This window comes from Homo sapiens, chromosome 2 (genome assembly GCF_000001405.40).
Source record: "Homo sapiens chromosome 2, GRCh38.p14 Primary Assembly".
In the NCBI taxonomy this organism is placed as follows: domain Eukaryota; kingdom Metazoa; phylum Chordata; class Mammalia; order Primates; family Hominidae; genus Homo; species Homo sapiens.
In genome coordinates this window covers 32,033,639-32,057,138 of record NC_000002.12, presented here as the reverse complement: position 1 = coordinate 32,057,138, position 23,500 = coordinate 32,033,639, and the positions used below count along the sequence as shown (strand labels likewise).

The following is a 23,500-nucleotide window of genomic DNA, read 5'->3' as shown; positions in this document are numbered from 1 at the left end:
ACTCCTAAGCTCAAGCTCAAGTGATCTGCCTGCTTTGGCATCCCCAGTGCTGGGATTACATGTGTAAGCCACCTCATCTGGCCTCAGTTTTTTAAAATAAAGAATTTGGGGCTCTAAGAGTCTGTTATTTGCCCAACATCACATATTAGTTAATTACACTTACTGCCTCAGTAATTTAAGGTAAAAATCTGGGATCTCAAGAATAATATTTTTACATAGTCTGTTTCTATTTTAATTATGAAATAAGTATATTGTTAGCCCCTGAAGCGCAAGTGATGGGCTTTCATTCATGGGCATTATGTTGGGTTTCGGGCCTCCGGCCTCCCATTTACTGAGTCTCTGCTATCTGGTTGTACTTAATATTGACTGTGCTTTTCTGCACTTTTGCTCTTTTTTTGTATGGTAAAAATATGGGATTTAGAGTTAGTGGGACTGGGGTTGCTATTCTAGTTAATTCCTCTATAAAAATTACAAAATGAAAGAGTACATCTAAAACCTCCATCATGATGCCTGCAACATGACAGAGCTCAATACATTTTGTTTTTGTCTCTTATATCTGTAATGCCATTTCAGATTTCTGACTCTACTGGAATCTCATTTTTTAGTGCTCTAAACTCACATCTTCTGCTCCTTGGAATTATATCTCAGTCTCAAGACTGTTGTGAATTAACATCTTCCTAAATTTGTGTCAAAAAAAACAAAAAAAACAAAAAAAACAGTGCCTTCAGACACAGCGGTGCACACCTGAAGTCCCAGCTACTCAGGAGGATCACTTGAGCTCAGGAATTGGAATCCAGCCTGGGTAACATAATGAGACCCTGTCTCTAAAAAAAAAGAAGAAAAGTAAAGAAAGAAAAAAAATAATGCCTTGGTGTTACCCTGGTTCTGCAATGTGCCTAGATGAGATCCCAACCCTGCTAGCCATTCTACCTACAGTGTGAGAGCCTCCCAGTTTTCAGCTTGTAAGAACTTTCAGGACACTTAATCTTGAATGGAATCTGAGACAGTTTCACAAGGACAAAAAGAAGGAGCTAGGTACTGTGCTAACTAATCCAGGACATTCGGTCACTTTATCACTTTAACCCATATTTATTTACCACAGTGCCTACCATCAAATAGTTTTTTTTGGATATTTCGGCCCTACTTGCCTTCTAAGGAACTCTTCAGACCTTCAATTCGAGAGATTCTAGATTTCAAGTGTGGACCAATGACAGATATTAAGGACCTCTTTTCAACTAAAAAAATTAGTAAAAAAAAAAAAAAAAAAATGGCACATGTAGAGTCCAGTGAGGAAATGGCTGATTTTGAAAAAGGCAGAAAACCTAAAATAAGAAAAACAAATGAAAAGATATGGTTGGAGGGGAGGGATGAGAGAAGTAACAATTGGGGAATTATTATCCAATCTCTGTATTAAGAAGGAAAAACATAATTGTGAATGATTAGTCATCTCCCTGAATTGAGTCCACAATGTGGCACATATTATTCATTCATTTGTTCTATGAATAGATATTAAGAAACGGACAATATATCAGGCAATAAGTGGGGTGTCAGGATTAATAAGATGGAGTTTATAGTTTAATGCAGTGGCCAAAACTTCCAATAGCAACAGTGGTCAGGCATATAACATATATGGGTTCCATGTGTGGGTTGTGTGGCATGCAAAAATGCATGTATGATGTGAATGATGGAAACTATGAGAAGCTAAAGAGTTGCATCCTGTAATTGAACAGGACAGCTGTTACTCAGCTCCCACTGAGCTGATTTTTTTTTTTCTTTTTGAGACAATGTCTCTCTGTCGTCCAGGCTGGAGTGCAGTGGCACAATCATGGCTCACTGCCCCCTCAACCTCCAGGGCTCAAGTGGTCCTCCTGCCTCAGCCTCCTGAGTAGTTGGGACCACAAGTGCACACCACCATATCCCAGCTAATTTTTGTATGTTTTGTAGAGATGGGGTTTGACTGTGTTGGCCAGGCTGATCTCAAACTCCTGGACTCAACCAATCCACTTACCCTAGCCTCCCAAAGCACTGGGTTTATAGGCGTGAGCCACAGCACCCAGCTAGCTTCCACTGATTTTTGCCTTTCAGGAATGTGAAGCTTAACATTGTCAGATTTTTTTAATTTTTCAAGAGAAACCAGAATTCTAAATTTTTATGTGAAATCTATTGGCTAAGAGTTATTGGCTCAAAAATCATTGTTATTTTATTCTTTTTAGATACACGGTCTCCCTCTGTCAGCCAGGCTGAAGTGCAGTGTCAGAATTATAGCTCACTGGGGTCTCAAACTGCTGGGCTCAAGGGATCCTCCTGCCTCAGCTTTCATGCCCAGCTCAAAATTTTATTTATTTATTTATTTATTTATTTATTTATTTATTTTTGAGAAGGAGTCTTGCTCTGTCACCCAGGCTGGAACGCAGTGGCACAATCTTGGCTCACTGCAACCTCCGCCTCCTGGGTTCAAGCAATTCTCCTGCCTCAGCCTCCTAAGTAGCTGGGACTACAGGTGCCTGCCACAAAGCCTAGCTACTTTTTGTATTTTTATTTATTTATTTATATATTTTTGAGATGGCGTCTCGCTCTTATTGCCCAGGCTGGAGGTCAGTGGCACCATCTCGACTCACTGCAACCTCCACCTCCCAGGTTCAAGCGATTCTCCTGCCTCAGCCTCCCCAATAGCTGGGATTACAGGTGCCCGCCACCACACCCGGCTAATTTTTGTATTTTTAATAGAGACGGGGTTTCACCATGTTTGCCAGGCTGGTCTTGACCTCCTGACCTCAGGTGATCCACTCACCTTGGCCTCCCAAAGTGCTGGGATTATAGACGTGAGCCACCGTGCCCGGCCTAATTTTTGTGTTTTTAGTAGCGACATGGTTTTACCATGTTGGCCTGGCTGGTCTTGAACTCCTGACCTCAAGTAATCGGCCTGCCTTGGTCTCCCAAAGTGCTGGGATCACAGATATGGGCCACTGCACCTGGCCTCAAAATTTAAAAACAAACAAACCAGGCCAGGTGCGGCAGCTCATTCCTGTAGTCCCAGCTACTTGGAAGATTGAGGCAGGAGGATTGCTTGAACCCGAAAGGTGGAGGTTGCAGTGAGCTGAGATCATGCCATTGCATTCCAGCCTGGGCAACAGAGCAAGACTCCATCTAGAAAATAAAATAAAATAAAATAAAACAACAAAAAAACAAAACCAAAACTCCCAGTCACCAGTTTGAGATTTTCTAGTTTATGGAGGATTTGTTACTTCAGTGAAAATGTGAATGAGCTCATGGTTTTGAAATAGTAGGTGTAAGTATAAACTGTTACCTGACCTGCTCAATTTGATTAGCTATAATGCCAAGGAAACACAGCAGAGTCAGTTAGTATGAAACTTTAAATGAATACCCTAGAATGGCAATCTAGATTACCAGAGGGTGTATTCAGTTGGCCTTCTAAATAAAATATTTAGGTATATAAATATAATCTTATATATCTATATTTATAGTGGACTCCAGGACGCATGAAAATCTATAGTGGGCCGGGCGAGGTGGCTCACACCTGTAATCTCAGCACTTTGGGAGGCCGAGGTGGGTGGATCACCTGAGGTCGAGAGTTGGAGACCAGCCTGACCAACATGGAGAAACCCCATCTCTACTAAAAATACAAAATTAGCCGGGCATGGTGGCGCATGCCTGTAATCCCAGCTACTCGGGAGGCTGAGGCAGGAGAATCACTTGAACCCGGGAGGCGGAGGTTGCGGTGAGCCGGGGTTGTGCCATTGCACTCCAGCCTGGGCAACAAACGTGAAACTCCATCTCCAAAAAAAAAAAAAAAAATCTATACTGGACTCCAGCACGCATGAAAAGCAGAGTAAATGTTAGCACCAGGTAAATGCTGGGACACATAAAAGGAGTTGTCTGTTTTCAAAGGTAGTTGCTAGCAACTGCAGTGTTTTGGGAAAGACTCTTATTCTGAGACCCTCTGTCTTGTCAGATACCCGTTTCTCCACTTACTCTCTTCATTAATGTTTCCATTTGTATCATGTTCCCCAGCCCTCCCATACAGGATTTTTCCTTTGAGGCTTTGCTTAAAAATTTATTGTTGGTTCAATACTGTTCAAAAGATACCTACTACTTGGGAGGCTGAGGCAGAAGAATGGCTTGAACCCAGGAGGCAGAGGTTGCAGTGAGCCGAGATCGTGCCACTGTACTCCAGCCTGGCGACAGAGCGAGACTGTCTCTCAAAAAAAAAAAAAAAATTTAGACAGGATCTCTCTCACTCTGTCATCCAGGCTGGAGCGCAGTAGCACAATCACAACTCACTGCAGCGTCTACCTCCCGGGTTCAAGTGATCCTGTCACCTCAGCCTCCTGAGTAGCTGGGGCTACAGGCACTCACCACCACGCCTGGCTACCTTTTTTTTTTTTTTTTTTTTTGGTAGAGATGAGGTCTCATGACGTTACTGAGGCTGGTCTAGAGCTCCTAAGTTCAAGTGATCCTCCTGCCTCAGCCTCCCAAAATGCTGAGATTACGGGTGTGAGCCACTATGCTCAGCCTGAACTTCTTCAGACTTTAGGGTCATTCATCTTAACCTTTAATCACTTACTATCTTGTATTGTTATTTAAATGTATCACATGTATATGTCTGATGTAGCTGACCTAGAATACAAGTTTATGAGGGCAGGGACTGCAATTTATATTTACTCTAAACTTCCCAACTGTTTAAGATCCTCAACATCACCTCCACTTAGGTGATTCACTTCACTAGGAGTACTCACAGGACTCAATGTATTTATTTATTTTTTGAAACAGAGCTTCGCTCTGTCACCCAGGCTGGAGTGTAACGGCGCGATCTTGGCTCACTGCAACGTCCGCCTCCCAGGTTCAAGCCATCCTCCTGCCTTAGCCTCCCAAGTAGCTGGAACTACAGGCCCGCATCACCATGCCCGGCTAATTTTTGTATTTTCAGTAGAGACAGGGTTTCAGCATGTTGGTCAGGCTGGCCTCAAACTCCTGAAAAGCAAAATCAGCAAAAGGAAAGGTGCATGGGACAAAGTCTGGAGGAAACCAGGTGCAAACAAGGTTCCAAGAGTCCTCCCAGTAGTGTCAACAAAGGATATGCTTAATTCCTCCAGCAACAGGTTCAGAGGACGTGGGTAAAATGCGGTCTACCAGAAACACTCATCAGAAACTCAGTGCTTGGGCTTTTTGTTGGGACTAGTCATATCGGCACCCTCTGCCTAACACCTATCAAAATTCCAGACTCCTAGAAGGAAGGTGGGTGCTTAACATACACCATATTGTTTGTACAGCTTAGGTACAGTGAGCTACTCTTATTCAGGAAAAGTTTTGGCCGGGCGCCTTGGCTTATACCTGTAATCCCAGAATTTTGAGAGGCTGAGGTGGGTGGATCGCTTGATTCCAGGAGTTTGAGACCAGCCTGGGCAACATGGTAAAACCACATCTCTACAAAAGATAGAAAAATTAGCCAGGTGTTGTGGGGCATGCGTGTAGTCCCAGGTGCTGGAGAGGCTGAGGTGGGAGGATCGATTGAGCCCAGGAGGTGGAGGCTGCAGTGAGCCTAGATCATGCCAGTTCACTCCAACCTGGGCAAAGGAGTTAGACACTGTCTCAAAAAATAAATAAATAAATAAATAAATAAAAGGAGGAAAAGTTTTCTATCACTGTAGGAAACTATTACTGTTATTATTATTTTTGAGATGAGTCTCACTCTGTCACCCCAGCTGGAGTGCAGTGGCACGATCTTGACTCACTGCAATTTCCACCTTCCGGGTTCAAGCCATTCTCCTGCCTCAGCCTCCTGAGTGGCTGGGGTTACAGGAGCCTGCCACCACGCCCGGCTAATTTTTTTGTATTTTTAGTACAGATGGGGTTTCACCATCTTGGCCAGGCTGGTCTTGAACTCCTGACCTCATGATCCACCCGCCTCAGCCTCCCAAAGTGCTGGGAAACTATTATTTAAGTTCTCAGGCCGGGCGCGGTGGCTCATGCCTGTAATCCCAGCACTTTGGGAGGCTGAGGCAGGTGGGTCATGAGGTCAGGAGATTAAGACCATCCTGGCTAACACGGTGAAACCCCGTCTCTACTAAAAATACAAAAAAAAAAAAAAAAAAAAAAAAAAAAATAGCTGGGCGTGGTGGCGGGCGCCTGTAGTCCCGGCTACTCGTGAGGCTGAGGCAGGAGAATGGCGTGAACCCAGGAGGGGGAGCTTGCAGTGAGCTGCGATTGCGCCATTGCACTCCAGCCTGGGCAACAGAGCAAGACTCCATCTCAAAAAAAAAAAAAAAAGTTCTCAGACACTAGCAGCCAAGGTCCAATTTTGCAAGCAGGCCTTTCCAAGGATAGCAGTCTTAGACTTGCTGTGTTAACTCTTCTCTGCACACTCTCCATGAGATCTCAACAAATAATAGATGCTTACTAAATGCTTTAGTGAAAGAAGAAAGGCTGAACTCAGATTTTTTTTTTTTTTTTTTGAGACGGAGTCTCACTGTGTTGCCCAGGCTGGAGTGCAGTGGTGCGATCTTGGCTCACTGCAACCTCCGCCTTCCGGGTTCAAGCGATTATCCTGCCTCAGCCTCACGAGTAGCTGGGATTACAGGCGCCGGCCACCACACCCAGCTAATTTTTTGTATTTTCAGTAGAGCGGGGGCAGGGGGAGGGTGGTCGGGGAAGGGGGTTCACCATGTTAGTCAGGCAGGTCTCGAACTCCTGACCTCGTGATCTGCCCACCTCAGCCTCCCAAAGTGCTGGGATTACAGGCATGAGCCACCGCGCCCGGCACAGATTTTTTTTTTTTTTTTTTTTTTTTTTTTGAGACGGAGCCTTGCCCTGTCGCTCAGGCTGGAGTGCAGCGGCGCTATCTCGGCTCACTGCAAGCTCCGCTTCCCGGCTTCACGGCATTCTCCTGCCTCAGCCTCCGCAGTAGCTGGGACTACAGGCGCCCCCCACCACGCCCACCTAATTTTTTGTATTTTTAGTAGAGACGGGGTTTCACCGTGTTAGCCAGGACGGTCTCGATTTCCTGACCTCTTGATGTGCCTGCCTTGGCCTCCCAAAGTGCTGGGATTACAGGCATGAGCCACCGCGCCCGGCCCAGATATTTTTTTAATACTATTATACAATGAATTAGATCCATTACTCACATAAATATTCTTCTCATTGATTTATGTGTTACTTATAATTAAAAACTCTACCTATTTGGCTGGGCTCGGTGGCTTACGCCTGTAATCCCAGCACTTTGGGAGGCAGAGGCGGACGGATCACCTGAGGTCGGGAGTTTCTGACCAGCCTGACCAACATGGAGAAACTCCGTCTCCACTAAAAATACAGAATTAGCCTGGTGTAGTGGAATGCACCTGTAATCCCAGCTACTTGGGAGGCTGAGGCGAGAGAATTGCTTGAACCTGGAAGATGGAGGTTGCAATGGGCATAGATCGTGCCACTACACTCCAGCCTGAGCGACAAAGCGAGACTCCCTCTCAAATAAATAAATACATAAATATAAATAAAAACTATGGTATAACAAATGTATTTATATCTTTGCATATTCGCAAAGGTATAATAAATATATTTATATCTTTGCATATTCGCAAAGGTATAATAAATATATTTATATCTTTGCATATTTGCATAGGATAAAATTCTAGAAGTAGAATTATTGTGTCAAAGTGAAAATTTCTGGGAACAGATTGTGAAGAACGAGTAAAAATAATAGGCTGGGTGTGGTGGCTCATGCCTGTAATCCCAGCACTTTGGGAGGCTGAGGCAGGCGGATTGCCCGAGCTCAGGAGTTCAAGACCAGCCTGGGCAACATGGTGAAAACCCCGTCTCTACTAAAATACAAAATTAGCCGGGCGTGGTGGCGTGCGCCTGTAGTCCCAGCTACTCGGGAGGTTGAGGCAGGAGAATTGCTTGAACCCGGGAAGTGGAAGTTGCAGTTAGCCAAGATGGCGCCACTGCACTCCAGCCTGGGCAACAGAGCGAGACTCCTCCATCTCTAAAAATAATAATAATAAATTTCATTTTAGTTCATCCCATTTGTTGACTGATATATAATATTGTACATATCTGAGGGGTATATGTGATATTTTGATACTTTACTTGCGTACACTGTGTAATGATCAAATCTGGGCAATTGAGATATTATAGATATCAAGATATATTATAGATATTATAAATATCAAGTATTTATTTATTTTTATTTTATTTTTATTTGTTTATTTATTTTTTGAGAGTCTTGCCTTGTCACCCAGGCTGGCGTGCAGTGGTGCGATCTCGGCTCCTGGGCTCAAGCGATTCTCCTGCCTCAGCCTCCCGAGTAGCAAAGACTACAGGCTCATGCCACCATGGTCGGCTAATTTTTGTATTTTTAGTAGAGACGGGGTTTCACCATGTTGACCAGGCTGGTCTCAAGACTCCTGACCTCATGTGATCTGCCCGCCTCGGCCTCCCAAAGTGCTAGGATTACAGCATGAGCCACAATGCCCGGCATTTTTTTTTTTTTTTTTGAGACAGGGTCTCACTCTGTCACCCGGGTTGGAGTGCAGTGGCGTGAGGACAGCTCACTGCAGGCTTGACCTCCCAGGGCTCAAGTGACCCTCCCACCTCAGCCTCCCGAGTAGCTAGCACTACAGGACCGTGCCAGCATGCCCAGATAACTTTTTATATTTTTTGTATAGAAGGAGTCTCATTTTGTGGCCCGTGCTGGTCTCCGACTCCTGGGCCATGTTGCCCAGGCTGGTCTTGAGCTCCTGGCCTCAAGCGACCTGCCCACCTCGGCCTCTCAAAGTGCTGGGATTACAGGCAGGAGCCACTGGACTCAGTCTTATAGGGGAGCACATTTTAAACAACAGTCTTGTGTTAACATTGGATGGCAGAACATTAAAAAAAATTTTTTTGAGATAGAGTTTTTGCTCTGTTGCCCAGGCTAGAGTGCAGTGGTGCAATCTTGGCTCACTGCAACCTCTACCTCCTGGGTTCTAGCGATTCTCCTGCCTCAGCCTCCCGAGTAGCTGGGATTACAGGCGTGTGCCACCACGCCCAACTAATTTTTGTAGCTTAAGTAGAGACGGGGTTTCACCATGTTGGCCAGGCTCCTCTCGAACTGCTGACCTCCAGTGATCCGCCCACCTCAGCCTCCCAAAGTGCTGGGATTACAGGCATGAGCCACCATGCCCGGTCAGGTGGCATCACTATTAATCTCCATTTTACTGTCTGACTTTGTCTTTTTTTTTTTTTTTTTTTTTAAAGACATGGGATCTCACTATAGTGCTCAGGCTGGTCTCTAACTATTGGGCTTAAGCAATTCTCCCACCTTGGCCTCCCAAAGTGCTAGGGTTACAGAGGCATGAACCACTGTTCCTGGCCTCTGACTTTGTCTTTTAAAAGGGAAATGGTTTCAATTTAAATTAATATGGAATGGCTTTGGGCAACCTAAAATTAAGAGATATCAAAGTTATGTATTTTGCCTATCACTTAATAACCCATGACCTATTTATGAACATTAATTTAAGTGATAATAATTTGGATTGAAAAGGAAAGCATAAAATCAACACATTTAAAAACTGAAAATCACCGCCACTGTGGCATGCACCTATAGTCCCAGCTATTTGGGAAACTGAGGCAGGAGAATATCTTGAGGCCAGGAGTTGGAGGTTGCAGTGTTCTAAGATTGCTCCTGTGAATAGTCATTGCACTGCAGCCTGGACATCGTATGGAGAACCCATCTCTAAAAAGATAGAAAAAACATTTAAAAAATTAAGACTGAAAATTAGGACGTTTTAGGAAAAAATCTAAATATAGCCTCATACAAGAAGTGGCAGAAACAATTGGCAATTTAAGGATTTGAAATGTCAGTAAGGTTGCCTTTTCATTAATTCTTATTATCCTCTCTCTTTTTTTTTTTTTCCTTGAGATGTAGTCTTGCTCTGTTGCCCAGACTGGAATGCAGTGGCGCAATCTCGGCTCACTGCAACCTCCACCTCCCGGGTTCAAGTCATTCTCCTGCCTCAGCCTCCTTAGCAACTGGTATTACAGGTGTGTGCAGCCACACCCAGCCAATTTTTTTTTTGTATTTTTAGTAGAGACAGGGTTTCACCATGTTGGCCACGCTGGTCTGGAACTCCTGACCTCAAGTGATCCACCCACCTCGGCCTCCCAGAGAGATGGGATTACAGGTGTGAGCCACCGCGTCCAGTTTTATTATTCTTATCGTTGAGATCACTTGTGTATCATAAAAATCAAAGGAACACACTATATTCATGCCTTTCAAAAACCCATTTGGTATGTTCCTTGATATACCAAAATTTATTTATTTAATTTTTTTGAGATGGAGTCTTGCTCTGTCACCCAGGCTGGAGTGCAGTGGCACCATCTCACTCACTGCAAGCTCTGCCTCCCAGGTTCACGCCATTCTCCTGCCTCAGCCTCCTGAGTAGCTGGGACTACAGGTGCCCGCCACCACGCGTGGCTACTTTTTTTTTGTATTTTTAATAGAAACGGGTTTCACCATGTTAGCCAAGATGGTCTTGATCTCCTGATCTCGTGATCCGCCCACCTCCGCCTCCCAGAGTGCTGGGATTACAGGCATGAGCCACCGCGCCCGGCCATATATACCAAAATTTCTGAGATGGGTGGTAAGATTGCTTGGGCATGTTGTTTGGTAGTAGAGACAAGGGAGCTACAGGTAGAGTGGTTGCCTTCCAATATTAGCCACAAAGAGATATTTCTCTTATTTCTCTGGAAAGTGACTTACCTAACCTGGAACATATATTTCTAGGTCTTCTTGAGAGGTGGTTGGGTGTCCCTCCCCACACATTGTACTCAGAGGGCCCATTTACACTCAGTAAATTCTATGTATTTATTTGCAAATACATTTTTGTATGTGAGTGTTGGGGGGTGGGGTGGGGTAGGTGGGTGTGGGTGGGTGCTGGATCAAGTTCTTAATTTTTCTGAATAATTTCTTTCCTGCAAATTATTTTAAAACAACAAAGTAAAAAGCTAATGAAGGGCCGGGCATGGTGGCTTACAAAGTGCTGTAATCCCAGCACTTTGGGAGGCCGAGGTGGGTAAATCGCTTGAGGCCAGGAGTTTGAGATCAGTCCGGCCAACATGGGAAAACCCCCTCTCTACTAAAAATACAAAAATCAGCTGGGTGTGGTGGCATGCGCCTGTAGTCCCAGCTACTTGAGAGGCTGAGGAAGGAGAATCGATTGAACCTGGAAGGTGAAGGTTGCAGTGAGCCAAGTTTGCAAAACTGTATTCCAGCTTGGGCAACAGAGTGAGATCCTGTCTCAAAAATAAATAAATAAATGAATAAAATTAAAAAGCTAATGAAGTGGCTTGATAAGTAATGTAGATAAGACAAAATGAATTTCAATTACATTTGTGTAACTTCAGTTTACAAAGCAGTTTCATCTTTTTTTTTTTTTTCAAGACAGGGTCTTGCTGTGTTGCCCAGGCTAGAGTACAGTGGTGTGATCAGGACAGCCTAGACTCTTCCAAGCGATCCTCTCGCTTCCGCCCCTGAGTAGCTGGGACTACAATCGTGCACTACTATGTCCGCCCAATTTTTCATATTTTTAGTAGAGATGGGTTTTTCCCATGTTGCCCAGGCTGGTCTTGAACTCCTGAAGTCGAGCAATCCACCTGCCTCGGCCTCCCAAAGTGCTGGGATTACAGGCGTGAGCCACTGTGCTTGGCTCAGTTTCCTCTATCTTATTTCATTTGATCCTCCTTATGAAGTAAAAATTATCCCAATTTTACATGCAAAAAAACCCTGAAGCTTGGCTGGGCACAGTGGCTCATGTCTTTAATGCCAGCACTTTGGGAGGCCGAGGCAGGTGGATCACCTGAGGTCAGGAGTTTGAGATTAGCCTGATTAATATGGTGGAACCCTGTCTCTACTAAAAATACAAAAATAAGCCGGTTGCAGTGGTGTGTGCCTGTAGTCCCAGCTACTTGGGAAGCTGAGACAGGAGAATTGCTTGAACCCGGGAGGTGGAGATTGCAGTGAGCCGAGATCACGCCACTGCACTCCAGCCTGGGTGACTGAGTGAGACTCCGTTTCAAAAACAAACAACAACAACAACAAAAACCCTGAAGCTCAGAGGAGTTAAAAGATTTGCCTAATCCCACATGGCAAACAAGGAACCAGGTTTTATTATTTATTTATTTAAGACGGAGTCTCCCTCTGTCCCCCAGGCTCGAGTGCAGTGGCATGATCTTGGCTCACTGCAACCTCTGCCTCCCAGGTTCAAGTGATTCTCCTGCCTAAGTCTCCCGAGTAGCTGGGATTACAGGCGAACGCCACCTTGGCCATCTAATTTTTGTATTTTTGGTAGAGACAGGGTTTTGCTGTGTTGGCCAGGCTGGTCTCGAACTCCTGACCTCTGGTGGGCCACCCGCCTCAGCCTCCCAAAATGCTAGGATTACAGGCCTGAGCCACTGCACCGGGCCAGGAGATAGAGATACTTTGTAACTAATTTTCAGATATGTAAAGCAGAACAGCCTGGTTAATGAAACATTGCCATTTAAAGCACTAGTAATTCATCAGCACATGTTCATGACATAACATGGTACTGTATATCACAATAGATTGGGTGTAACATTTCAGTTCTTTTGATGAGTCTTTTTGATTTCATAGTGATTTTTTTTTTGACAGTCTCACTCTGTCGCCAGGCTGGAGTGCAGTGACGCAATCTTGGCTCACTGCAACCTCCGCCTCCTGGGTTCACGCCATTCTCCTGCCTCAGCCTCCTGAGTAGCTGGGACTACAGGCACCCGCCACCATGCCCGGCTAATTTTTTGTTAGCCAGGACGGTCTTGATCTCCTGACCTCGTGATCTGCCCGCCTCGGCCTCCCAAAGTGCTGGGATTACAGGCGTAAGACACCGCACCTGGCCGTTGCTTTTCTTATAGAGCCCTTTCTTACTGAGCAATGTGCCTCCTTGTATTATAAAATCTTTCTGATAATGCGTTAGAATTTTTTTTGTAATTTAGTAAAAGTGCTTTCCGTGTTACTTTATTCAAAGCTAGTAAGTACTTTCCTGAGTTCTGTAGTAACTAGGTGTAAAAATGATGTGTTGCAGCTTTGCAGTTCTCAAAATATTTTAGTTACTGTTATTAAACTATGAACTTTCTTAACATCACTCTGTTGCTGGATTACGGACACTGTCATTTGACTAATATTGACCCTCTTTACCTCACCCACGTGGATACACACCTCCTGTAGTTGTTTTGCCTAACAATGTCCCTTTGGGTCTGTAAGATTCTGTAAACTGTGCAGTCTTCATGATTTTCTGTACGACATATATATATATTTTTTATTGAGACAGGGTCTCACTCTGTTGCCCAGGCTGGAGTGCAATGGCGCAATCTTGGCTCACTGTAACCCCCGCCTCCTGGGCTCATGCAATCCTCCCACCTCAGTGTCCCGAGTAGCTGGGTCTAGAGGTCCACACCGGGCTAATTTTTGTATTTTTTTGTAGAGATGGGTTTTCACCATGTTTTCCAGATTGGTCTCAAACTCCTGGACTCAAACAATTTACCCGATTTAGTTCTGGGATTAGCAGGTGGGAGCCACTGTGCCTGGCTTGTTCTGTACAACTTAACTCACTGGCAAAAATACAACATTGGACCTTTCAACCACTTAGAACAATTTTTTTTTTTGAGACAGAGTCTTGCTCTGTCGCCCAGGCTGAAGTGCAGTGGCATGATCTCGGCTCACCGCAACCTCCGCCTCCCGGGCTCATGGGATTCTCCTGCCTCAGCCTCTGGAGTGGCTGAGATTATGGGTGTAAGCCACCACACCCAGCTAATTTTTTGTATTTTTAGTAGAGACAAGGTTTCACCATATTGGCCAGGCTGGTCTCTAACTCCTGACCTCAGGTGATCCGTTAGCCTCTGCCTCCCAAGTGCCTTATAAGCATGAGCCACCGCGCCCAGTCAGGAACAACATGTTTTAAATGGACAGTTGCAGAATTGTGGAGTGTTTTTATATTAATCTTTTGGTAATGCAATTAGCAGTATGTTTTGTATGTATGACTTAATAAATCCTTGAATCATTAAAAAAATAAAGAATAGCCGGACGCGGTGGCTCAAGCCTGTAATCCCAGCACTTTGGGAGGCCGAGGTGGGCAGATCACGAGGTCAGGAGATCAAGACCATCCTGGCTAACACAGTGAAACCCCATCTCTACTAAAAATACAAAAAAATTACCCGGGAGTGGTGGCAGGTGCCTGTAGTCCCAGCTACTCGGGAGGCTGAGGCAGGAGAATGGCATGAACCTAGGAGGCAGAGCTTGCAGCGAGCTGAGATCGCGCCACTGCACTCCAGCCTGGATGACAGAGTGAAACCCCGTCTCAAAAAAAAAAAAAAAAAAAAGAATAAAGTCTTTGCCTTTAAACAACTCAAAATCTAATTGTGTTTACACATAAGCAAAATATAAAGCAGAATGAGCTAAGTACTATAAATGGCTGTGTAAGAAGCTGATGAAAGAAGTCCTGAACAAAATTTGGTGGAAGTCCAAATAAGAGTTAAATGTTCTTCTCATTTTCTTTCTATTTTCTTCTGAGACAGGGTCTTGCTCCGTCGCCTAGGCTGGAGTGCAGTGGTGTGGTTATAGTTTACGTCTCAACCTCCCTGGGCTCATGTGATCCTCCAATCTTTGCCTCTGAGTAGCTGGGACTACAGGTATGCATCACCACACTCAGCCAATTTTTAATTTTTTTGTAGAGACGAGTTCTTACAATGTTGCCCAGGCTGTCTTCTCATTCTTTTAATTTACCCCTCTCCAGACAGTACACATTACTGCAAATTTCTGTTACAATCATGTTTCCAAGTCATCTTTAGAATAATTAATTTCACATTAAAACTCAGCATTCTGCAGTATCTTCAATTAATTTTATACTTCCTATTTCTTCCTTTAAAAAATAATTTCTTTAATCATTAAAAAAAATTGCAGACGGGGATCTTGCTGTGTTGGTCAGGTTCGTTGTGATCTCCTGGCCTTGGCCTCCCAAAGTACTAGGATTACAGGCGTAAGCCATCACACCCAGCTCTCTTTCTTTTTCTGAGACAGGGTCTTGGTCTGTCATCACAGCTTACTGCAGCCTCCACCTCCCAGGCTCAAGCAATCCTCCTGCCTCAGCTTCCAAGTAGCTGGAACTACAGGCATGTGCATCACGACCCGCTATCAATTAGTGAGTTTTAAATGCGAAAACTTCAGTGAAGCTTTTTGGTAAATCACATCAGTATCTCTTACCTGGATGGATGGAAACCTGGATGATAGCTGATTATTCTGTGCTGCTGCCTTCAGTAAACATTTTTATGTCTTTTCTCTTTTTGCTTTCGAAGTATCAGTGCATATATTAATATCAAATTTTGACTATGAACCAGCCCAACTTAATATGTATTCTGCACCTACAATGTATTTAGCATGTTGTGAAGTATAAAGATATCTAAGACATGGTCCCCTGCCCTGAAGGAGCTCTTCTAGTTTACTACTTTACCAAAACTGTCAGTACTTAGAAAATGTAAATTAAGGGCTGGGCGCAGTGGCTCATGCCTGTTATCTCAGCACTTTGGGAGGCTGAGGTGGGCGGATCACGAGGTCAGGAGTTTGAGACCAGCCTGACCAACATGGTGAAACCCTGTCTCTATTAAAAACACAAAAATATGCTGGGAGCGGTGGCTCACGCCTGTAATCCTAGCACTTTGGAAGGCCGGGGCAGGCGGATCACGAGGTCAAGAGATCGAGACCATCCTGGCCAACATGGTGAAACCCTGTCTCTACTAAAAATACAAAAATTAGCTGGGTGTGGTAGCGCGCGTCTATAGTCCCAGCTACTCGGGAGGCTGAGGCAGGAGAATCGCTTGAACCTGGGAGGCGGAAGTTGCAGTGAGCCAAAAAAAAAAAAAAAAAGAGGGTCACTGCACTCTAGCCTGGCGACAGAGTGAGACTCCATCTCAAAACAAAAACAAAAACAAAACAAAACACGCCCACACACACAAAATAGCTAGGCGTGGTGGTGCGTGCCTGTAATCCCAGCTACTCAGGAGCAGGCTGAAGCAGGAGAATCGCTTGAACCAGGGAATCGGAGGTTGTAGTGAGCCGAGATCATGCCTCTGCACTCCAGCCTGGCCACAGAGCGAGACTCTGTCTCAAAAAAAAAAAAAAAAAAGTCCCAATCATTCTCTACTTGTATGTATGCCCTTTTTATTTCACACTCTTGAAAAGCATTTAATCTTAATTTAATATATCTACTAGGCAATTTATACATCCTGCACATAGGCATACACGTTTGAATCAGCATTACATGAAAAATCTTCAAAGTTCCACATGACAGCTGTCACCAATCACAATACTATTTAAGTATACACTGCGAAACTTTAAAAACTTACTTATATGTCTAGCTCTTAACCAAATTTTATTTACTTTAGATCTGTATCCACGATTTTTTAGAGTAGCAATATTAAGTTGTAGTCTAACGCCAGCTGGAAGTAAAACTCAATGGTACACCATATTTCTGTATATGTAGTCACAATTTTTAATTTTAATCGCTTATATTCCACCATATTGTTATGCCATCATTTACTCCAAATGTTTTCAAGTTTTCATATTACAAAGTGCAATTACAAATAGAATTGTGTCAAAGGCAGGAAGTTTGCGTGTTATCACTTTTGTTTACATTAAAATAAATTGAATTTATTGGAATTTTAAAAAATCCAAGTAAAGAGATGTTGTTTGCTATTTACACACTGTGTAGGAGGCAAATTATCCTATGTACGTTTTACAACTACATTACTATCAGTAGGACCACGGTTTGGAAAGCCAGTTGCATACTGCTAATCTAATACAAATGTAAGGTGGCATTAACATCGCATATTCACAGATTTAAGGGCTTGAATAAAAGCTGATCAGGAAACCCCCAAAACTGCTTCTTCCCCCATCTTTGGCTTTACAGTAAAACACTGACATTCTTTCAGAGACTGTCAGACTGGGCTTATAATTTTCTAGTAAGAACCACTCAGTGAGGAAGTTCAGTTGGTCGAGGAAGAGCTTCAGCAGATGCTTTGAGGCAGCACCGAGGTTTGATCCGGCCGAGCCCCTTCTAACTGGGCTGGTCACTTGGTCTGCAGCTGGGGTGGCGCTCTTCGTGGGTGGGTAGGATGAAGGAAGATTGTAGCTCGTAGCTTCCGAGGCCAGACCTTGGCCAGGACTCACGCGGACTGCAGAGAGCCTCGGGGACTGACGATGGTTCTGCGCGCCTCCCAGCTTCTTGTCCGCCGGGAGGTTCTGCGCAGGCGCGGCAGTCGTGCGACAGCCGTCACTTACGGCCGGAGCTGTTTGTGCTGGGAGCTGGTGGCGCGGTGCAGGGCTCTTAAGAACGAACGGCTTGGGCGCGGGTAATCAGCTCCCTTTCCCCCACTTTCTCACTTATTCTAGGTACTTGGGACTGTCGTAGAGTTTCCAGACCCCATGTAGGCGCCCAGTCGTGGACTGTCCCACTCTGCTGCTCTACTGCTCGTGGTGCTCCCGCGCCCAGGTGGGGGTGAGGGGCGGGGTCGGGGGCTGGGCTGCACTCCATCCTGGAGTCTTCGTGTTGAAATCTCCCAGGTAACTCGCGGCTCTTCTTGTTTTCCAAGACTGGTATCCGGGGACTGTGACTTGCAGGGTCCGCCATGGAGCCAGAGCAGATGCTGGAGGGACAAACGCAGGTATCAGGAGGCCGTGGATTCAGGGTGGCGGTGTGCAGGGAGGCAGCGAGAAAGGGGGGACTTATATCTCTGTGACCGGTGTTTTGTTTTCTAGGTTGCAGAAAATCCTCACTCTGAGTACGGTCTCACAGACAACGTTGAGGTAACTCGCCAAGTTCCTATGCCTCATCTGTGTTGTCTCTTGCAAGCTGGAGAAAACTTGGGATCTGCTTTTACTAGGTGGCTATGCACAAGGGAAAACTTTGTTATCGTGAACTGAATAGTATCAAGTTATGGGTAGCTTGTTTTATTAGCAGTACTAATGCTTCTTGGTGTACAGACGTACAAATTACGTTTGAGTCAAAGGATTGAACTTTTATTGCGAAACACATATTCTTGAGGGATACTGTCTGAATCATTTTTCTTGGTGGCTTTTAATCGATCTTTTGGGATGTTGCTACGTAAAAACCGCATATTAAAATTAAGAAACCCTTCGCCGGGCGCGATGGCCCACGCCTATCATCCCAGCACTTTGGGAGGCCAAGGCTGGCGGACCACCTGAGGTCAGGAGTTCCAGACCAGCCTGACCAACATGGTGAAACCCCGTCTCTACTAAAAATACAAAAATTAGCCGGGCATGATGGTGGATGACTGTAATCCTATCTGTTCGGGTGGCTGAGGCCAGAGAATCTCTTGAATCTGGAAGACAGGTTGCAGTGAGCTGAGATCGCGCCACTGCACTACAGCCTGGGCGGCAGAGTGAGACTCCGTCTCAAAAAAAAAAAAAAAAAAAAGTAAAAAATAAAATTAGGAAACCTGTTGGTCTTTGTAGCAGAATAGTGAGCTGGTGGAGTCAACATTTAATAAATATTTATTTCTTTTTAGAGTTCAGTAACTCCTGGGCTGGAGTGAGAGTATTGCTGGAGCTGGGGAGGTTGAGGCTGCAGTGAGCTATGATCGCACCACTGCGCTCCAGCCTGGGTGTCAGCATGTGACCCTGTCCCTATTTCCCTCCCCCCGCCCCCCCCCCCCTCAAAATAAGGCCGGACGCGGTGGCTCACCCTTGTAATCCCAGCACTTTGAGGGCCAAGGCTAGCTGATCACCTGAGGTCAGGAGTTCCAGACCAGCCTGGCCAACATGGTGAAACCTCCTCTCTACTAATCCCAGCTACTCGGGAGGCTGAGGCAGGAGAATCGCGAATCGCTTGAACCCGAGAGGTGGAGGTTGCAGTGAGCCGAGATCATGCCACTGCACTCCATCCTGGGTGATAAAGCGAGACTTTGTCCAAAAAAAAAAAAAAAAAAAGAAAGAAAATGAGCAATACAAGTTAATTCTACTGCAAAAATGCCAACCTGCCTAGGTTGAAAATACAGCTCCCAACATACTTTCTGGTGATCTTGAACAAGTTACTGAACTTCTCTGGGCCTTATGGGGCTGAAGATAGAAGCAAATTACTTAAGAGTGTGTGTGGCTAATATTAATATTAATATTAACAGCTATTACTATTATTACTGTGCTTAGAAATGCTGTTACTCTCATTTATCCAAACTGAATCACACATGTCTTGTTTTTTTTAATAAAGCATACAGGCTGGGCGTGGTGGCTCATGCTTGTAATCCCAGCACTTTGGGAGGCCGAGGTGGGCAGATCACTTGAGGTGAGGAATTCAAGCCTGGCCAACATGGTGAAACTCCGTCTCTACTGAAAATACAAAAATTAGCCAGGCGTGGTGGCAAGTGCCTGTAATCCCAGCTACTCAGGAGGCTGAGGCAGGAGAATTGCTTGAACCCCGGAGGCAGAGGTTGCAGTGAGCCAAGATTGTGCCACTGCAGTCCAGCCTGGGTGACAGAGTGAGACTCTGTCTCAAAAAAAAAAAAAAGTTGTCTGGGCATGGTGGCTGTTAAATCGCTTGAGCTCAGGAGTTTGAAACCAGCCTACAAACCCTGTTTCTACAAAAAAATAGAAAAATTAGCTGGGTGTGACGGTACGTGCCTACAGTCCCCAGCTACTTGGGAGGCTGAAGCAGGAGGATCACTTGAGCCTGGGAGGCCGAAGCTGCAGTGAGCCCTAATTGCACCACTGCACACCATCCTGAGTGAGACAGGGAGACCTTGTCTCAAAAGCAAAAAAGATATGTACTTTAAAGATATGTAAACAATACAAAAAAAGGAGAATTTTACATTTATCCACATATTGACCATTTCTGGAGATCTTCATTGTTTTGTGTAGGTCTAGATTTCCATCTTTCCCAAAAGGTATCATTTTCCTCCTGCCCAAAGGGCTTCCTTGAACATTTCTTGTAGTTCACATCCGCTGGTAAGAAATTCAGCTTCTGAATGTCTGAAAAAGTCATTATTTTGCCCTTGTTTTTAGAAGATATTTTGCCAGTTGTAGATTTGCTTCACAGTCTTCTGGCGGACATTGTTTCTGAAAAGAAGCTTGCTATCGTTCCTATCTTTGCTCGTCAATAAATAACGTCTTCTCTCTTGCTACTTTTGAGATTTTCTTTATACCAGTGTTTTAAAGTTATTTGGTTGTGGCGTGTCTTGGTGTAGTTTTTTTTCTTTTTTTTGAAACAGAGTCTCGCTCTGTCTCCCAGGCTGGAGTGCAGTGGTGCAATCTCGGCTCACTGCAAGCTCTGCCTCCTGGGTTCACACCATTCTCCTGCCTCAGCCTCCCGAGTAGGTGGGACTACAGGCACCCGCCAACCATGCCCGGCTAATTTTTTTGTATTTTCAGTAGACACTGGGTTTCTTTTTTTTTTTTTTTTGAGACAGAGTCTTGCTCTGTCGCCCAGGCTGGAGTGCAGTGGCGTGATCTTGGCTCACTGCAAGCTCCGCCTTCCGGGTTCATGCCATTCTCCTGCCTCAGCCTCCTGAGTAGCTGGGACTACAGGCGCCGCCACCATGCCCGGCTAATTTTTTTGTATTTTTAGTAGAGACGGGGTTTCACCGTGTTAGCCAGGATGGTCTCGATCTCCTGACCTCGTGATCCGCCAACCTTGGCCTCCCAAAGTGCTGGGATTACAGGCGTGAGCCACCGCGCCCAGCCAGTTTTTTTCTTTTAATACTTCTGCTTAGGATTCATTGAGCTTCTTGGATCTGTGGTTTAGAATTTTCATCAAACTTGGAAGAATTTCAGCCATTATTTAAAAAAAATACTTTGCCATGGGACGTGACTCATGCCTGTAATCCCAGCCCGTTGGGAGGCCAAGGTGGGAGGATTCCTTGAATCTAGGAGTTTAAGACCAGCCTGGGCAACATAGTGAGACCCCATCTAAAAAAAAAAATTAGCTGGGTATGGTGGTGTGTGCCTATAGTACCAGCTACTCAGGAGACTGAGGTGGGAGGATTGCTTGAGCCTGGGAGGCCAAGGCTGGAGTGAACCAGGATCATGCCAGTGCACTGCAGGGTGGGTGACAGAGTGAGACCCTGTCTCAGAAAAAAAAAAGGAAAAAGATCAGTTTACTTATCCTTTTTTCTTTTTCTTTTTTTTTTTTTTTTTCTTCGAGACTGAGTCTTGCTCTGTCGCCAGGTTGGAGTGCAATGGCGTGATCTCGGCTTACTGTAACCTCTGCCTCCCGGGTTGAAGTGATTCTCATGTCTCAGCCTCCTAAGTATCTGGGATTATAGGCACCCGCTACCATGCCCAGCTAATTTTTGTATTTTTAGTAGAGGCGGGGTTTCACAGTGTTTGTCAGGCTGGTCTCAAACTGCTGACCTTAAGTAAGCTGCCTGCCTCAGCCTCCCAAAGTGCTGGGATTACAGATGTGAGCCACTGCACCTGGCCTACTTATGCTTTTTTCTATTGTGAACTTATAGAATATATTATAAATGTTTTTTTTTTTTTAATAAGATGAAATCTTGCTCTGTTGCCAGGCTGTTGTGCAGTGGCGCGATCTTGGCTCACTATAATCTCCGCTTCCTGGGTTCAAGTGATTCCCCTGCCTCAGCCTCCCAAGTAGCTGGGAGCCACCAAACCCAGCTAATTTTTTGTATTTTAGTAGAGATGAGGTTTCACCATGTTGGCCAGGATGGTCTTGATCTCCTGACCTCGTGATCCACCCGCCTCGGCCTCCCAAAGTGCTGGGATTACAAGTGTGAGCCACCGTGCCCGGCGAAATGTTTTTGTTTATTTATTTATTTAATTTTTGTTTTTAAGACCGAGTCTTGCTCTTTCACCCAGGCTGGGGTACAGTGGCATGATCGTAGCTCACTGTAGCCTCAAACTCCTGGTCTTAAGTGATCCTCCCACCTCAGCCTCCTGAGTAGTTGGGACTAGAGGTGTGCCACCATGCCTGGCAGGGATACATTATAATTTTTTTTTTTTTTTTAAATGGAGTCTCGCTCTGTCCCCCAGGCTGGAGTGTAGTGGCGTGCTCTCGGCTCACTGCAACCTCTGCCTCCCGGGTTCAAGCGATTTACCTTTTTTTATTTTTCTTTTTTGAGATGGAGTTTTGCTCTTGTCGCCCAGGCTGGAAGTGGCGCGATCTTGGGTCAATGCAACCTCCACCTCCTGGGTTCAAGTGACTCTCCTGCCTCAGCCTCCCGAGTAGCTGGAATCACAGGCATGTGCCACCATGCCTGCCGAATTTTTGTATTTTTAGTAGAGACGGGGTTTTACCATGTTGGCCAGGACGGTCTCAAACTCCTGACCTAAGGTGATCCACCTGCCTTGACCTCCCAAAGTGCTGGGATTACAGGTGTGAGTCACCGTGGCCAGCGTATTATGAGATTTTCTTCCCCTGTGTCACTGGAACACAAACTGTTTCCAGCCTGTGTGAGCTGCAAGGATTGTTCCTCCTGGTGTAATATAGTTTGGATATTTGTCCCTTCCAAATCTCATGTTGAAATGTGACCCCCAGTGTTGGAGGTGGGGCCTAGTGGGAGGTGTTTGGGTCATGGGGGCAAATCCCTCATGAATGGCCTGGTGCCATCTTTTGGTAATGAGTCAGTTCTTACTCTATTAGTTACCGTGAGATCTGATTGTTAAAAAGAGTCTGGCACCTACTCCTTTCTCTCTTGCTCCCTCTCTTGTTATGTGACACACCAGTTCCCCTTCCCTCTCTGTCACGATTCATTGCTCCCTGAAGCCCTCACAAGAAGCAGATGCTGGCGCCATGCTTGTGTAGCTTGCAGAACTGTGGCCAAATAAACCTCTTTTCTTTATAAATTACCCACCCTCAGGTATTTCTTTATAGCAATGCAAATGGACTAACACAAGATGGTTGTTTCCCTGGCCTTGGGTAGTTGACTTATATCCATCTATTGATAAGTATTCACCTGAAGACTGGAAGGCAATATGTTTAGTCTCTTTCTGTGCAGTTCTTGTCTCCATGCGCCTTTCTTCTCTTCAGTGCTCTGCCTTGCAAATTTTAGTTGTTTTGGTCTTCCAGAATTTTCAACTGTCTTCTCAACTCAGGGAGACTACTAGGCTCTGTTCAAGTTCTCTCTCCCTACACTTTATCCTGTAAGTTCTCCAAGCAGAAAGCAGTAAGCTGGGACAGTCATAGTACTCACCTAATTTCTCCCCTTTTTGTGATCACTGTTCTACACTGTCTTATCAGCTCATTGTTTGTTTGTGTTAGTTTGGCTATATCTATTTTTAGGTTAGTTCAAGATTTTGACAAGTGAAATTGAGCATCACAATTGGCATATAGTAGATAATTCATAAATGTTCACATGAAATAAATGGGAGGATTTGGTTAAGAAATTTATTACAGGAGTTATAGGAGTTTCTTAGGCATTGCTCTTTTTGTTTGTTTGTTTTGAGACGGAGTTTTGCTCTTGTTGCTGGGCTGGA

The 23,500-nt window shown here is 45.0% G+C and overlaps 1 protein-coding gene across 11 annotated transcripts in view, besides 2 other annotated features; it reads left to right on the top strand.

The window, feature by feature from the left end:
* Window positions 16,897-16,996: an enhancer, noted in NCBI's record as "active region_15556". NCBI's record gives its function as "activates an Ori minimal core promoter by ATAC-STARR-seq in GM12878 lymphoblastoid cells {active_cell/tissue: GM12878}" and the evidence as "EXISTENCE:reporter gene assay evidence [ECO:0000049][PMID:35858748]".
* Window positions 17,147-17,326: an enhancer, noted in NCBI's record as "active region_15555". NCBI's record gives its function as "activates an Ori minimal core promoter by ATAC-STARR-seq in GM12878 lymphoblastoid cells {active_cell/tissue: GM12878}" and the evidence as "EXISTENCE:reporter gene assay evidence [ECO:0000049][PMID:35858748]".
* The window catches only part of DPY30 (dpy-30 histone methyltransferase complex regulatory subunit), a 28,187-nt gene continuing 21,990 nt past the window's right edge, over window positions 17,304-23,500 (top strand). For 8 of the 11 annotated variants that reach the window (NR_135585.2, NM_001321210.2, XM_047446037.1 and 5 more), the window contains exons 1-3: window positions 17,334-17,406; window positions 17,647-17,718; window positions 17,813-17,860. Coding sequence is in view for 9 of the 11 variants with exons in the window: in NM_001321210.2 (NP_001308139.1) it covers window positions 17,683-17,718; window positions 17,813-17,860 (84 nt within the window). In the remaining 2 variants the exon portion in view is untranslated. Of the gene's footprint in view, window positions 17,547-17,646; window positions 17,719-17,812; window positions 17,861-23,500 lie in introns of all 11 variants that reach the window. The other 3 variants (XM_011533133.3, NM_032574.4, NR_135587.1) reach the window with 2 other exon arrangements.